General features: G+C 37.3%; 1 protein-coding gene across 2 annotated transcripts in view; it reads left to right on the top strand.

Annotated features, from left to right (window-relative positions):
- The window catches only part of CFAP54 (cilia and flagella associated protein 54), a 385,979-nt gene that overhangs the window by 276,831 nt on the left and 90,966 nt on the right, over positions 1 to 18,182 (top strand). The gene's annotated exons all lie outside the window — the stretch shown is intronic.

The raw sequence follows: 18,182 nt of genomic DNA on the forward strand, positions 1-18,182 counted from the left end.
CATTGACCCTACACAGGGCAGTTCGGCAGCCCAGCAGCCAGGAGGAGCTGGTCACCACTTCTTTGCTTAACACTGTTTGGCAGCTCAATTCTCCCTGGTTCAGAATGCCAGGAAAGCATCTCTCTTAGAAGCACACATTATTGTACAGTATTAATAATCAAGAGATTCAGTTGACATCCTAGCTCTCCCAGACCATTTCATTTCTCTCAGCCTCATTAGAAACTAATCTACTCTAGAATCTGAGGCTAATCGCTCAGTCTCTTGTCCGTAGACTGAGAGATTAGTCAAAATCTAAGACGATGACTGAAACTTCCAATATGGCTATTTCTTCTTCATACTGCCTCCTTATTACTTCTGAATGATGTGTTTACTTTACCCTAGTCATTTCCTTGTGTTTTCCCAGTTTTTAGGGCAGGGATGACCAATAAGTTTCATCCAAGATGGACCCTAAAACTCAGTGGCCTACAACAACAGGAACTCATTCTTCCACTCAGCTCATGTGTTCTGCTTCAGGCTGTAGGTCGGGTTCAGGTGCATTCTTATGTACATTTGTTGTGAGTGAGGCCCAAGCTAAAGAGACAGTGGTTATCTGGGGTATGATCTTCTCATGGTAGATACCAGAGCAAAAGAGCCACAAACCAAATCACACAAATGCATTTAAGGCCTTTCTTCACATCCCATCCCATTGGCCACAGCAAGTCATAGGGCCAAGTCCAATATCAGTGAGCTAGGGAAATATACACTGCTTGTACAGGAAGGGAGAGAGGCATGGATGTTTGCTAAATGAAAATCCAAACTATCGCATATGACAAATTCGATGGCCAATGGCTACCTGAGAAGAACCTCTGTATGATTCAGAGGAAAGAACCATAGAAAAGACACGAAAAAGGTGCTGTGATTAATTAATGATGTCAGCCAGGGGCACACAGTGGAAAATGGCATCCTCTAAACAAAACCATGTTTGTTGATCCAGTTGAGTAGGTAGTCTTCATCTCAGTTTAATACTAGAACCTAAGCTTTCTTGTTCCGTGTCAGTGGCTTTCATAGCATATTACATTTTTTCAGTTTCCATTTTATACCATTAGCCCTTCTTTACTATTTTAACTACGAAATTACCAAATTTTAAAATCCAATCTGTTTTGCATTTTGCCTTGCCTTAAGAATAATAATTTTGCCTTCCAGTCCTTTCCTGGCAGGCTGATAATTAATTCATGTTGATGACTTCCCTCACTTCAGTGTTGGGGTTAGAAGGAGGTTCTGAATTCCCACTTGGTTGCCACTAATACCCAGATGGCAATGAGGTTCATATTATAATGGCTTGCTAAAGGGCAAAATTCCTTAACAACAACAAATAAAACTTGTTTGATTTTCCTTGCATTAGCATAAATTAGCATCCAGCAAAAAACCTCCTCAGTAATCTTAGCTTTAAACAATACTAGCATTGATCTACACATGAGGTGATGAACAACATTTACTGTTACTGTATGTAGAGTACTGTACGAGATATTTACATTCAGAGAGAAGGAAGAGTCAGAGAACACCTCAAGGAAGCAGGTCTTACCTTCCATGAGCTTCTAGTCATGGGCAATCAGAACAGGCATATACCCTGAAATGATAGACATTCATTTTTTGGCCAGGTGCAGTGGCTCATGCCTGTAATCCCAGCACTTTGGGAGGCTAAGGTGGGTGGATTATTTGAGATCAGGAGTTTGAGACCACCCTGGGCAACATGGTGAAACCCCGTCTCTACTAAAAATACAAAAATTAGCCGGGTGTGCTGCTGCACACCTGTAGTCCCAACTACTCAGAAGGGTGAGACAGGAGAATCGCTTGAACCCAGAAGGTGGAGGTTGCAGTGAGCCGAGATCGCACCATTGCACTCCAGCCTCAGTGACAAAGTGAGACTCTGTCTCAAAAAATAAAATAGAAAAAACAAAATTCATCTTTTAAGAAGAGCATAATAGGCTGGGTGCGGTGGGTTATGGCTATAATCCTGGCACTTTGGAAGGCCAAGAAGGGTGGATCACTTGAGGCCAGGAGTTCAAGACCAGCCTGGCCAACATGGCAAAACCCGATCTCTACTAAAAATACAAAAATTAGCCGGGTATGGTGGTGGGCGCCTATAATCCCAGCTACTAGGGAGGCTGAGGCAGGATAAATGGATTGAACCTGGGAGGCAGAGGTTGCAGTGAGCCGAGATCACGCCACTCACTGCACTCCAGCCTGGGTGACAGAGTGAGACTCTATCTCAAAAAACAAAACAAAGCAAAATAAAACAAAACAAAACAAAAACAAAAACAAACAAAAAAAGAAGCAGAGCATAATAATGAAGGCAGATTAAAGTGCCACAAGCTAAATCCATCTATGCCTTCTGAGGGGAGCTGGACACAGGCAGGATGGCATATGAGTTAATTAAGAGCGTTGTTTTCTGGGAGAGGTATATTATGGGGCAGGTGTAAATTGACTCAGGGGAAGCAAATTTTATCAACAGAGCAATTGATGACAGGAGCATTATGACAGAATGGACTAGTCATGTGTGGAGAGTGGACTATAGATCATCCTGCCAGGACCAGAGAGCAATTGTATGACATCTATAGCACAGTAAGAGAGTTAAAGTGATGCACCTAGTACAATTACTGAGGTATTCTCTGTAGGAACAGACACCTTGAGATGTTGGCACTGGCAATGTGGGGCCATGTTTAAATTCAATGCAAAGAAACCTTTATTTCATGCTACCTACTTTGGGCCCAGTTATATTCAAGTATATACTCTTATCATTTTGTCTTGATTTTCTTGTGGCCTTGATAAAAATTTCAGCTGGGATTAAAATTATTAAATTCTGTATTTAAATTTTGAATTCAAAGTAACATTTAGGATTACTGGTCCCAGATGCAGCCTCTTACTACTACATAAACAATATATACAGAAAACTATAAATGCCTGTCTTGCTAAAAAGTGATGTCAGTGAATGTTAGGTCCAGGGTCAGTTTCCAGCCCATGCTGAGGTCGGAGGGGTGTGGGTGGATGGGGAGCAGGGAGCTGAAAGAACGTTCGGGGGGCTGTAGGTATGTGAAATATAGCTTTATTCAGCAGCTCTCTCATCAGCAGCTCTCTTAGACAGACTGCTCTGTCTTGGCTCCTTGCTGTGACCACTGCCACACACAGCTGCGCAGCCAGCTCTCCCTTCAGGGTGAGCAGATTAACTCTTTCTTTCTCTGGGCATGAGTGCAGCTATACAGTGTCAACATGGCAATTATACCTTTTATAGACAGTAGTGGCTCAGAGCCAAATGATGAGCCTTCCCATGGCTACATGGCTGTGATAACAAATAGAGTTATACACCTGCGCTCTAAACTCACTGAGTCCCGCAGAACGTAAACACCCTACTTTGGCCTATCCTTGACCAAAGCACATCCATTACCTTACAGTGAACCTATTGTCAGAATACAAAAAGAGATCTATGGAGCAGAGCCAAGAATCACAACTGGGCTTTAATGTATGTTTTGCCTCTTGAAACAGAGCAAACCTTCCAGCCTGAAAAGAAATCTGATTTTTCCCTCCCATACCACCTTGCACCTGGTGCAGAGATACAGGGTCGATAACAACTAATTAAAAAGTGGGATGCAATTCCTCTACTATTATCTTCTGTTTTCCTATTCCTCTAACACACAATTCCCCATAGTAGGGGAACTGGATTGGTATATTACTACTCAAATCCCAAATAATTATACTACTTATAGGTGGGAATGGAGAAAAATCATCTGTGGTAGTGAAGGTGGGATGTGTGTGTGTGTGTGTGTGTGAATTTGTGTGTGTGTGTGTTGCATCCGAGTATTAGAGATGAGACAATTGGGTCATGACAAGGACCAGCCTCAGTGAAGCAGACTTGTCTTGGTCAAATGCCTGCCAGAGTCCAGAAACTCCACTCAGAGATTCATACACTGATCACTGAAATCTGAGAAGGGACAGTACCATGGCTAAGAGGAGAGCACACACCCTGTCAATTGTCAGGTACTAGGTAGGAGGAGACCCTGTTTATTTAGACAGAGTCAACAATGTAAAATAAGAAACAACAGATGGTTCATGTGAGAGAAAACATTCTTAGAAGAGCACAGTGGAATGCTGTCCTGGAGACTGAGAGGAAGATTTACCCTTCAGTGAACTGGAGGAGACTCAACATGATTGTTTGCTACCCTTAGCAGGGCCCAGGCCATCAAGATTCACACGACAGCAGAAAGCTATGACTCAGGAAGTGCCAGATAATAAGGGGATGAGTGGCACCTGATGCTGTGTGCCACAGCTATCTTACTTGATTTCATTTATGTTTCAGGAAAATCCTGTGGGAGTGTCATTATGCACATTTATAAATGAGGCAAGGTGCTCATTCAGAGAGGTTATGTAACTTGTGTACTATTCCACTACTAATTCAAATCCTGATCTATCCAATTCTAAAGGCTCTGCTGTTAAGCTTTATGTTGGGTGTGATAAGAAAGTATTGCCAGGAACTTAAAATGCAGAATTGATGCTTCTAGTCAGCCTGCTGGACTGCTTGGATGGAGTTGACATGAGTGATGCCTCTGCCCTTCGCAATCCAAACACATTAACAGTGGTGGGTAAATAGTACAAAAATTGTTTTAATTTGTAGCTGAGCTTGAAACCAGGAAAGGAAAATTCCAAATTGCCAAAGCAAATTGGAGATTTGTAGCAGGGCCTGAACCTGAGGACTTCACTGGAGAGGAATTCAAATTAGGCCTTAACAGATGGAACTGGGACTTCAGTACCAGACTCAAGGAACAGTCTGGAAAGAGGGCCCTGCAGGTAGGGAAAGTCAGAAACCAGCTAACTATATAAATGGGGATTCAGAGTGGGCTTGTCCACAAACTGGGGACTAGAAATACACTGTCCACTGGTTTGAGTAGATTCAGGGAAACAGCACAAATGCCCACATTAAAACCCACTTTAGTCCCGGAAGCAGTGGCTCACGCCTGTAATCCCAGCACTTTGGGAGGCCAAGGCGGGCGGTTCACGAGGTCAGGAGATGGAGACCATCCTGGCTAACACGGTGAAACCCCGTCTCTACTAAAAATACAAAAAATTAGCCAGGCGCGGTGGTGGGCCCCTGTAGTCCCAGCTACTCGGGAGGCTGAGGCAGGAGAATGGCGTGAACCCGGGAGGCGGAGCTTGCAGTGAGCCGAGATAGCGCCACTGCACTCCGGCCTGGGCAAAAGAGCGAGACTCCGCCTCAAAAACAAAAAACAAACAAACAAAAAACAACAAAAAAAAACCCCACTTTAGGTTGTAAGGTTGTAATTCACACCACCTGAATGATACATGGAAATTGGCATTTTAAATACTGGCCCAGAACCAGTGAAACCCAGGGAGCTCTGGCCTGGGCTGATGGGAAGCGATTGCAAAGGGATCCTTCTCCATGCAGGACAGAAGGGACTCTTCCTCAATCTTCCCCAATTCTTCTGAAGATGGTTATAGTACAAATTGTATCTGGACAAATTCTGGTAACATCTTTGGGTTAGGAAGAGAAAATAATTGTAAGTATTCAGTCAGAAAAAGAAAGTTTTCTAAAAAGGAACAAACACTGAACTGTTCTTAGTTTTTCTCTGCAGCATTAAAGATCAGATTACATTGGTCTAATATGTATGGAGTGTTTTTTTCTTTTAGTTTAATTCATTTTTTTGAATAGGTAATTTATTCTCAAGAATCAAAACTCAAAAGATACGAAAGGGTATCTTTCCATCTTCTCTGCAAGTGTCCAGTTCTCAGTTCCCCCCAGAAACAATCAATTATTACCAGTCTATTAGTGTCCTATTCCTGCTGTAACAAATTACCACACATTTATTGTCTTTTGGTTCTGGAGGTCAGAAGTCCAAAATAGGTCTTATTGGGCTAATTCAGGTGTCACCAGGGATACATTATTCTAAAAGTTCTGAGGGAGAATCTGTTTCCTTGCATTTCCCAGCTTCTAGAGGCCACCTGAATTCCTTGGCTCATGGCCCCTCCCTTTATCTTCCAAGCCAGCAGCGTAGCATCTCCAAATCTCTCTGACCCGAAACATACTCCTCTGACTTCGTTTCTGCATATACAGACCCTGTGATTACATTAGGCCCACCTGGATAACCCAGGATAATCTCCTTATCTCAAAGTCAGTTGATAGGTGATTGGTGGGCAATTTTTTTTTTTTTTTTTTGAGATGGAGTTTTGCTCTTGTTGCCCAGGCTGGAGTGCAATGGCATACTGCCCAGGCTGGAGTGCAATGGAATAATCTCGGCTCACTGCAATCTCTGCTTCCTGAGTTCAAGCGATTCTCCTGCCTCAGCCTTCTGAGTAGCTGGGATTACAGGCACCCACAACCATGCCCGGCTAATTTTTGTATTTTTAGTAGAGACAGGGTTTCACCATGTTGGCCAGGCTGGTCTTGAACTCCTGACCCACATGCCTCAGCTTCCCAAAGTGCTGGGATTACAGGCGTGAGCCACCATGCCTGGACTGGTCTGCAATCTTAATTCTCCTTTGCCCTGTAATCTAACATATTCACAGATTCTGGGGATTAGACATGAACATCTTTAGGGGACCATCATTCTGCCTCCCAGAGTCATTTTCTTGTGTTCCCCACCAGAGATGTTACATGCTTATATCAACTGTCAGAGTTCCATTGTAGAGGTCAGAATCCACTCCAGTTCATTCAAATAGAATGAGATTTATCAAAGGACTTTCAAATTCAATGGGAGAGCTAAAGAAACCAATTCTAGGCTGTGTCCAGAAATGACTAAGCCACATGTAACTGGACCACCAAGGCACAGCTTTTGTTTGTTTCCTATAAAGGAAACTTGTAGATCAGGAATTTGTCTGAAGAATAGAGAGCTTCTGCTCAGCTGTAGGCTTAAAAACCACACTTCTTCTGCCAGAATCACACCAGCCGAAGAGATGCCTTGAATCACCTGTCTCCCTCACCGCTTAACCCAGTTCCACCTCCAAGTCTTGCATGAATGCACTGAATTTATAATACCTAAAATCCCATCCAGGACAATAGTTGCAAGGACATTTGGGAAGTGTCATTTTTATCTTCATAATTTCTTCAATATAGAAAAGCATATTTGGAGTTTAAGATGGATGTTGAGTGAACCAACCTGGTATATGCACTGATACATTGACATATTTTTCCCTTAAAAATACAAATAGTGGTATAACTGTACACATAATAATGCTCCTTGCTCTTTTTTCTTTAAATTAATATAAATGTATCTTGACAATTTTTCCAAATCATCACATAAGCAGCTTTTTTATGGCTGTATAATATTCCTTTATATAGGTCCAGCATAATTAAATTCATTAGTCTCTTTGATAGCTATTTATGTTGTTTCTACTCTTTTGCTATTACATTCATCTGTACATCTTATACATTTGTATCATTTTGTACATAGGCTAGTATATCTATTGGGTCAATTCCCATAAAGCAAATGTCTAGATCAAAGGGTGATTTCATTTGAAAATTTGATATTTTTTGCCAAGATCATTCTAAAAAGGTTATGCCACTTTGTACTCCTGTCAGCAGTTAATAAATGGTCTTTTTTCAACACCCTTGCTGACAAAGGTACATTATAAACATCTTTTAAACTTTTGTTGACATGGTGGGAGAAAAAAAGGTTCAAATTTAATTTGCACATATCTTGTGAGGACTAAGCTTGAACATCTTTTTGTGAACTCTCTGCTCATAATCTTTCCCGATTAAAAAAAAATTTGGCCTTTAAGTATTTGTAGAAGTCCTTTATTATGAAAATCAACATTTTAGTTGTGATATTTGTAAATATAGCTTTCTAATTTTTCAGTTGTTGCTTAACATTTTACATGATAGTTCTGTTCCATGAAGAAGTTATTTATTTCTATATAGTAGAAATTATTAATCTTTTTGATAGATTTTGGATTTCTGTCATAGTTAGAAAAGTCCTCCCTACTCAGATTCTTTAAATAACTTATAGAAATCTATTCGGAATATGTAAAGTGTGACAAGCGGATATAAATTTAATTTTTCCAGATGGCTACCCCATTTCTGTACTTTTCTTTCCGTTCTAATTGATCTGTCCATTCTGGTTTCAATACATTTTTTAAATTTTTGTAACCTTATAAAAATATACTTAATATAAAGATAAGTCCCCATTAATTACTCTCTCTTGTGGCTTTTTTATGTGTTAAGTCTGGAAGCAGCTTGTCTAGTTCCAAAAAGTCCTGCTGTATTTTTATTGGGATTACGTTATATTTAGACATTAACTTAGAAATAACTTACATTTTTATTCTACTGAATCATCTTAACCAAGAATATTATATGCCCTTTATATTTTCTAGTTCACATCCCTTAGGGTGTTTTAACATTTTCTTCAAATAAGTCTTGTACTTTTCTGGTTAGGTTTATTTTTAGAGATGTTATCTTCTTATTGTATTATAATTTAAAAAAATTATTTCTATTAGTTGTTTTTATGTACAGAGGCTACTGATGCCACTATATTTACTTTATTATCCTTAGATATTTTCTCCACTTGGTCATCCATGAACAAGGTTGAAGTCACCAAATATTTTCTGTAAATAGTCAGATAGTAAATATTTAAGTCTACTTATTTAAGTCTTTATGGTCTCTGCTGAACCTACTCAACTTGCTATTGTAGCATAAAAGGAACCATAGTCACAGTGTAAATGAATGAGCATGGCTGTGTTCCATTAAAACTTTACTGTGGGCCGGGCGCGGTGACTCACGCCTGTAATCCTGACGCTTTGGGAAGCCGAGGTGGGCAAATCATGAGGTCAGGAGTTCGAGATCAGCCTGGCCAACATGGCGAAACCCCGTTTCTACTAAAAATACAAAAAATTAGCTGGGCATAGTGGTGGGCACCTGTAATCCCAGCTACTCGGGAGGCTGAGGCAGGAGAATCACTTGAACCTAGGAGGCAGAGGTTGCAGTGAGCTGAGATGGCGCTACTGCACTCCAGCCCAAGCAACAGAGTGAGATTCCATCCCCGACCCAAAAAAAAACTTTACTGTGGACATTGACATTTAAGTTTCATATGATTTTCATGTAACACAAAATATTATTCTTTTAATTTTTTTCCAACCATTAAAAATGTAAAAACCATTTTTAGCTCATGAGTCCCACATAAACACGTGTGGCCAGATTTTGCCCATGGGCTAGAGTTTGACAACACCTGGACAAGGCGAACAGAGGTCCTCTGCTGCTCACATAATTGTTCCTCCTCTTATATCTGTAGTTTTTGTTTTTGTTGACAAGATGTTACTTGGACTATGAATATTCTTAAGTATTATATCTTTATTGTGAATGACACCCTTTAACATTATAAAGGTCCCGCTTTTGTTTCACTTTTTGGCCAGAATTCTACCTTGTCTAATACTGAGATCACAAATATTGCTTTCTTTTGGTTTACATTTTCCTGCTACACATTTTTGCATGTTTTTATTTTCAAACTTTTGAAATAATTTTATTTTAAATATGCTTTTACATAGGGCATAGAGTTGGGTTTTCTTTGTTATAAGACCTGATAGTATTTTTCTTGTAATAGGTGATTTAAATGTAAATGTATTGATATGTGGGGTATGTTTGATGTTATTATTTCAGATCACTTTACAATATGTATACAATAAATTAGGAAACAAAACCAATAAAATTAGAAAGTTGTAATTTTAGGGGAAAAACTATTAGCCAACTTTTTCAGGAAAATTAGTTATAGCAAAAAGAAAACTTCTCACAAATGATAAGAAGAAAGTAATCAATGATGTTAAGAAATTAAATTTTTAAAGATTTTTTTGGTTCAACTTTAAGCAAATTTGAAAACTTCTATATAACTTGTAATTTCCTGGGAAAATATAATTTATCCAGATTTACTTTAGGTAAAAAAAAAATTAGACAAATCTATTAGTATAGAAAACAATACAGTTCTATTAGAAATTAAAGCTGAAAAATTAAAGTTTATTAATTAATTTAAAAAGAATAGTAATAAACTCATTACAAGTTAACATAAATAGCATATTACAGATCTCATTAATGTCTGACCCAATAAAAGATAGTTGAATTCTCACACCTACTTCTGCAGACAATCTGCTGCAATATAATGTTTTGGTTGAAATAATTTTTTTAAAAATCCAGCCTCACACAGATATGTAGTTAGAAAATGGAGGAGTATTTCAACAGCCTTTTCAGATAATTGTGGATAGTCTTCTTTGAAACTAAACCAGAACTGCGTAAGTGGTAGTTTCTTAAAAGTTCATTCCAAAGTAGAATCTGAAATTATATCATTAAACTTTTTGAACTCTGTTATATCAAAATACATTAGTCTGTCTTGCTGTTGAATGACATCTTTTACCCATGCATGATTTTGTAACATTGTATATTAGGCATTTGGAAAATATGGACTTCAAATATGCAGGTCTTCTAAACATGTATACATTTTATTGGACAATATAAAAAATGTTAAAATATCACCACAATTCCTATCAGAAAATTCTAAGTATTGAAAAGTTCATAGTGGTAGATATAAGTTTTCCAAAATTCTAAATCGTTACTTCAAAACTTGAATTTTATCTTTGGCAGCACACCCGTCAGTTGTTTCCCTGGAAGTCAGGTATACTTCTTTCATTTTTGAACAAATGTTTGCCTCCTACCTAAGTCTGAAAACATTTTGTCTTGTCAGCTGTTCTTTCAGTAAAAATGGCAGTCCATGAAAAAAAAAGTAAAAGTGCTCATTCAGCTTGCAACTCAAAGAATCCCTGAAGTGCTTTTCCTGGAGACAGCCATTGCACTTCAGTATGCAGCAGGAGTGTTTTTTGTGTGCTTCCCATTTTATCACAGAAAAGATGAAAAAAGTGTGTGCTCAAGGGTCAGTAGTTAATAACATTAACAACTTTTACTGCTTCATCAAGGATATTCTTTTTTTTTTTTTTGAGATGGAGTTTTGCTCTTGTTGCCCAGGCTGCTGGAGTGCAATGGCGCAATCTCGCCTCCCTGCAACCTCCGCCTCCCGGGTTCAAGTGATTCTCCTGCCTCAGCCTCCTGAGTAGCTGGGATTACAGGCATGCACCACCATGCCCGGCTAATTTTGTATTTTTAGTAGAGACGGGGTTTCTCCATGTTGGTCAGGCTGGTCTCAAACTCCTGATCTCAGGAGATCCACCCACCTCGGCCTCCCAAAGTGCTGGGATTACAGGTGTGAGCCACTGCGCCTGGCCCATCAAGGATATTCTTAAGTGAAACTGACATTTGAATCAATGTGTTCATTCTACTATGAGGGCATGGCAATGAAGAATGCAAGCACTGCTAGGATGGTTTGGTGCCACTACCTTCCTACATTTCTGCTAAGGCACTGGCCATTAAACTTACCATTGCTTTTGTGCCATCAATGCCAAATGCTAACACATTTGTTCCAGGATAAACCATTAGATTCAGAAAAAGTTGCCAATCATTGACATAGGAAGAGATCTTTGAATAGTTGGTGCTGATACTGTTAGACAAATATAAGCAAAACTGCAAGTCTAGCCACATCTGTAAATTTGAGCCATTTGTAGTACAACTGTTATGTACCCGTACAAATTTTAAAAATAAAAACAAAAGGTAATCTAGGCATGCTTCTTTGAAAAGTTTTGAGCCATTTACAAGGCAAAAGTATAATTCTGCAGATGAGTTATGAACTGAGTCTTTATGTTTGCAGCTACATTTAAAATCTAACAAGTTATTTTATTATTGGAAAGTGCCATGATTTCATTGGCTAAATTTTTTTCCATGGGTGATTACTGCAAATGGAATATTTAGGTCTTAGACCTCAGGATGTGCATTCATCAGTGTCAACTGTATAAAATTTTATTAGTCTCTAGGTTTTTGTGTACATTTCTCTAACTAATGCATTTATCTAGCTTTGAGTTTGAAAGGCTGCAACAAATAATTTTTTTGGCTCATCACATATAGGTTTATAATTTTAAAATCTTTTTTCTTTAAACTATGAACAATTGGTCTCAAAATAATTCTTCAACTTGACTGGCACTATAATACTATTCAAAAGTGCACAGCTCACCATCAAGAAGTATGCTTTGCAATTTCTTCCTGAGATTTACATCTTAGTAGCATCACCTGTCTCCTTCTCTATACATTCTACTTGATGACAATTGCTTTGGGCATTATTCCACACATTTTGTGGCTTAGGATTTTTAGCTCTTCTCTGATTTACTGAAAATGGAATTTGTGTTTTTGTTACTTGTTTTCTTTCTTGTCTTGTGATAATTTTCAGGGGGTAAAAGGGATGTGCCAATCTTATATGAATGTCTTCAAATTGGAAGTCACCACAAAATTGTTTTTTAAAAAATAAGCATTTTACTCTATTATAAAATATATACAGAAAAGAACACAAATCATGGCCGGGCGTGATGGCTCATGCCTATAATCCCAGCACATTGGGAGTCTGAGGTGGGTGGATCACCTGAGATCAGGAGTTCAAGACCAACCTGGCCAACATGGTGAAACCCTGTCTCTACTAAAAATACAAAAATTAGCCAGGCGTGGGGGCAGGCACCTGTAATCCCAGTTACTGGGAGGCTGAGGCAGGAGAATCTCTTGGACCCAGAAGGTAGAGGTTGCAATGAGCTGAGATCGTGCCATCGCACTCCAGCCTGGGCAACACGAGTGAATCTCCATCTCAAAAAAAAAAAAAAAAAACCCACAAATTATGAATTTACAGCTTCATTAATTAACACAAAGGAAACACCCATGTAACCACCACTAGGTCAAGAAATAGAATAAGACCAGCGCCCCAGAAGTCTACATCATGTTCCCTTCTGGCCCCTAGCAACCTCTTTTCCTTCTGATTTGTAACAGATAGTTTGGCCAGCTTTTGAATTTTGTGTAAATGAAATCATATAGTCTTTTTGTCTGACTTCTGTTCACCCCTATGTTTGTGTGATTCATCCTTTTGGTGGGCATAATAGCACAATTTAGTGTTCATTCTACTGTTGGTAAACATTTGGGGTTATGAATAATGCTGCTATGAATATATTTGTATGTGACATTTTTGTGCACAGATGTATGCATTTTTATAATATGCCAAGGAATGGAATTGCTGGTCATAAGACATGCATGGTTTTAGCCTTAGTGGGTATTGCCAAGAAGACCACTTAATCTTAATTGCAATTAAGATTTCACTACATGAAATCTTATATGAATTATATGTTTATTATTTATATATTAATTTATATATTAACATATATATATTAATTATATATTTCACTACCTGACCAATCAAGTACAGGGCCTTATAAAGACTACAGTGGTTTACTTTTGGTGAACTTTTTAAAAAGAAAGTTACTTGAGAATGCACCCCAGCACAAAGGGTTGCAAATGAAGAAAGAAGTAGATGTAATATAGAAAAAAGAAAGGAAGAGAGGAAAGGGCCCTCAGTGTTGCCAGCTATGCAGTAGTCTAGATTGCAATTAAGATTAAGTGGTCTTAATTTAAAATTTATTTTGATGACAAAAGAGATTGAACACTATTATATATGGTATATTGGCTTTTGCATAGTTTTTGGGGGTGAACTTTTTCTAAAACGATGCCTATTTTTCCTGGGAGTTTTCTGTCTTTGGCTTAGAGATATGGAGGCATTCTTGATATACTCTGGATATGACCCTTTGGTAGATTATTTGTATTGCAAATATCTTTTCCCATTCTTTGTTTTACCTTTTTATTCAGTAGTAGTTTCTTTTGATTATCCAAAGTTTATAATTTTTATGCCCAATTAATTAGTCCTTATAATGGTTTGTATGCTTTTTGTGTTCAGTTTTAGAAATCTTTTCCTAAACAAAAATCATAAAGGTACCTTCTATGTTTTTATCATTTTTAATCTTTCACAGTTAGATCTACAGTTCACCCAGAATCTATTTTTGTGTATAGTGTGAGGCTGAAATTAAGATTAACTTTTTTTCTGTATGGATATATATTTAACCCAGAACAGTGTATCGAAAAAGACCCCTTCTTTACAACACTGCAGTGTTACATCTCTCATAAATCAAGTGTCCACTATGTGGGGTGAGAGAGAGGAGAGGGAGAGAGAAAGAGAAAAGGACTGACTCAGCAAAGAAGTTTCAACTTTCAACTAACTGATATTCAAGATAGAGATAAAGGAAAAAATAGGAGGTACACAGAAACAAATACAAGAATAGTTTGCAGGATTGAACAGCGATCAGTTCAAGTTGAAAAGGCCTATTGTGTTCCAAGCAGCATGAATGAAAAAGACTAGACCTAGGTCCAAAATGAAATTTTAAATCATCACAGATAACGAGGAGTTGATAAAAAATATCCCAGATGGGGAAGTTCAGGCCAACTAGAAAGGAATGAGAATTTGACTAGCATCAGGCTTCTCACCAGCAATAGTAGATGCTAGAAAGCCACAGAGCAAGGCCTTTGAATTTAAGGGAAAAATGAGTGTCCACTAAAATTATGTATTTCACTAAATGACCAATCAAGTACAAGGGGCTTGTAAAGACTCCAGTGGTTTACTTTTGGTGAACTTTTTTAAAACAAAGTTTTTTGAGAATGCGCCCCAGCACACAGGCTTGCAAATGAAGAAAGAAGTAGATGTAATGTAGAAAAAAGAAAGGAAAGGAGGAAGAGAGGAAAGGGCCCTCAGTATTGCCAGCTATGCAGTAGTCTAGAAATATGTCAGCACAAACTGGAGTGGCAAGTTTGTGATCTCAAGTATGTCTTCAATAGCATGAATGGAGTCTAGAATGACTAAAAAGCTAGATGATACTAGGAATACGGTAAAAAGTGCAAATATTACTTCTCTCAACAAGGAAGAAAAGACATTCAGAAATTCTAGGGAAAAATATTCTTTACGAATTCATGGTCCAAATAAGAAGCGAATTGGAATATGGCCTTATTTAGAGACTGGCGTGAGTAAAAACAATCCATTTGACCTTTGTGCTGAGAATTTTATCCTTTGTGGGTCACAAGGTTTGACAGTGACCCTTAGTGAAAGTAATTTGATCATATTGAAGCAAACAATTCCTATACAATCATAATAATGTAAGTATTGTTTATTGATTTTCAACTTATTGACAAAACAATGAAGGGTTTGTTATGGGTATAGAACAGAATGTAAATGTTACCAACTTTGGAAATAGAAAACCCAGCAAGGAGAAGGCCATAAAGGTGTGCAGGTACTATTAGAACACAAAGGAAGGCATCAAGAGATATGACCTGTATTTAGAGGAACCAGAAAGAGCTTTTAGAACATTGTTGATATATAAAAATAGGGGAACTAAAAATGGTGATATAACTATAGACATTTTGAAGTGAAGAAGAGTGGTTTTATGGCTAATATTTCATGTCACAGAAAAAGTCACTAGATATATTTTCTAAAACTGATAGTTTAAGAAAATGGTATAAGGAAATTATTTTAAGAGTTGGAACTAACTATTAGAAGAACTAAAGTACAAATGGTTAAAATGCTTGTCTCTGGGAGAGGGAATTTTATTTTTGATTATGTTAATGTTTGACTTTGATCAAAATAAGCAGCATATTAAAAGATACATCATGTCAAATTGGATTATTTCCAGGAATGCAAATGTAATTCAACATCAGAAAATCTGTTGAACTAAGTCACTACTTTAATAGATTGAAAGAGAAAAATAATAATCATCTCAAATAGGTGCAGAAAAATTCAATAAAATTCAACAACCATTTATGATTCTAAAACTGGGAATTAAAAAAATATTAATCTGAAAAAATTACAAGTGGGAAAACATGCCTACTGTATTTATAGTAAATATTCAGATGCCAAAACTATTCCCTTTAAAATCAAGAGTAAGAAAATGCTATTATTACTTTGATTCACAATTGTTCTGGAAGTCCTACCCTGCACAATAATATAAGGAAAAGAAATAAGAAGTACAAAGAATGGGAAAGTAGAAAAAAACCATCATTCACTGCAGATTATTCACATAGACACTTCCCAAGAAGTACAGGCAATAAAAATATTTAGCAAGGTTGCTGGATGTAAGATTTTATTTCTATACATTTTTAACAGAAAACGTATTTTAAAAAGATGTTATTACAGTAGCTACAAAAATATATAAGACCTCTAGGGATTAATCTAACCAAAGTTGTGAAACAAATTATAAAATTTCATTGAAAGAGATAAGAAAACATACCATGTTTATAGTTAAGAAGACTCAGTATTGACAAATGCCAAGTATTCTAAAAATGATTGATAGATTTAATGTAGTTCAGTAGTTCAGTAGTTTTATTTTGTGGAATTTGACAAAGTGATGCCAAAATTTATATGAAAGAACAAAAGGCAAGATTGGTCAAAAGATACCTAAAAAAGAACAACCTAGTGATTCCACATCCAGGTAATTTGTGCATGCGTGCACCAGACAATATGTACTTAAATATTTATAGCAGCCTTGTTCATAACAGTAAAGACCAAAATAAAACAAAATTAAAAAGAAATCACATGTCCATCAATGGTAGAATAGATATATAAATTGTGGTATATTCCTATACTGAAATACTACATAATAACAAAAAATATCAGTAAATAACAGCCACCTGCATTAGCCTGGCTGAATTTTCAAAGCACAATGTTTAAAGGAAAAAGAAAATCATAGGTAAATGCATGCAGTATGATTCTCTTCCCATAAAGTTCTAAAAAGATAAAGTTAACAATGTTTTATTTATTACATGTTATGTAATATATATGTTTAAAGAGTGAAGGACAGATATGGGATTAGTAACACTAAATTTTGGATAGTGATTATTTCTGGGACATGAGCTCAGGCAGCGAGAGTGAAATGGAATTAGAGAGCGGCTTATAAGATACTCCCAAAGTACTGGGAATTTGTAATCCAAGGTGGGTGGTGAGTACATGGAGATTCATCTTATTCAAGAAAACATGCATAGGCCACTAACCATAGAATATTTATCTTCCTTTTTTCGCTTCCCAGAGACAACCACTGTTCTAATCAAATGTTATTTATGTGCATGTATATATGTAAATGATAGAAATAATCATATTGTTTTCAAACTTACATAAATGGTATCATACTCTATATCACCTGGAACCTGTTTGTTAACTCATTGTACATTTTCAGGATATATCCATCATTACTCTTATAATGCCCATTTTAAAGAAAAGTAAGAGGTCGGGCGCAGTGGCCCATGCCTGTAATCCCAGCATTTTGGAAGGCCGAGGCAGGTGAATCACCTGAGGTCGGGAGTTCAAGACCAGCCTGACCAACATGGAGAAACGCCGTTTCTACTAAAAACACAAAATTAGCCGGGCATGGTGGCGCATGCCTGTAATCCCAGTTACTCGCGAGGCTGAGGCAGGAGAATTGCTTGAACCCGGGAGGAGAAGGTTGCGGTGAGCCAAGATTGTGCCATTGCACTCCAGCCTGGGCAACAAAAGCGAAACTCCATCTCAAAAGAAAAAAAGAAAAGAAAAGTAAGAGTCAGAAAATCAAAAGCCCAGAGAGGCCGAAGGCACAGAGAGATTCAAGGTCACACACTAGTGAGTGTATAGCTGGGATTTGAACTGAGACTCCACACTATATTTTCTCTCTTGTAGATGTAATTCATTCACTTTAAATGGCTTCAAATGATTAGACTCCTGTTTATATTTTAAAGTTTCCTTTTTTAATATTGCAAACAACACTTTGTGCAAAACTCTTGGTACACATATATGGGTATCTGCATTTTCAGTTTTCTTAGATCTTGCCAAATTGTTTTCCAAATAATTGTGAATTGCTCTCACAAATAATGTGTGAACATTCCAATTTATTCACGTTATTATCAATATTTATTATTTTCAGATTTTGGTGTCTATCAGTTCCTAAGGGATATGAAATGCTATTTCATTTTAATTTGCATTTTTCTAATTTTTAGTGATGCTAAAAATTTTGGTCACTTGGGTTTACTTTTCTATGAATTGCCTGTTGATATTCTTTGTCCACTTTTTCTATGAATTGCCTGTTGAAATTGTGTTGCTTGACATTTGTTTGTTGATTGATGCAAAGTGTTTACACATTAAAGAGAGTTCATATATATATATATTTTAAATATCTTTTCTCAGTCTGTGGTTGGTCTTTTAACTTGGTGTTTGGTGTCTGCATGATACAAAAGACTT

The sequence above is a fragment of the Homo sapiens genome, chromosome 12, assembly GCF_000001405.40.
Source record: "Homo sapiens chromosome 12, GRCh38.p14 Primary Assembly".
Lineage (NCBI taxonomy): Eukaryota > Metazoa > Chordata > Mammalia > Primates > Hominidae > Homo > Homo sapiens.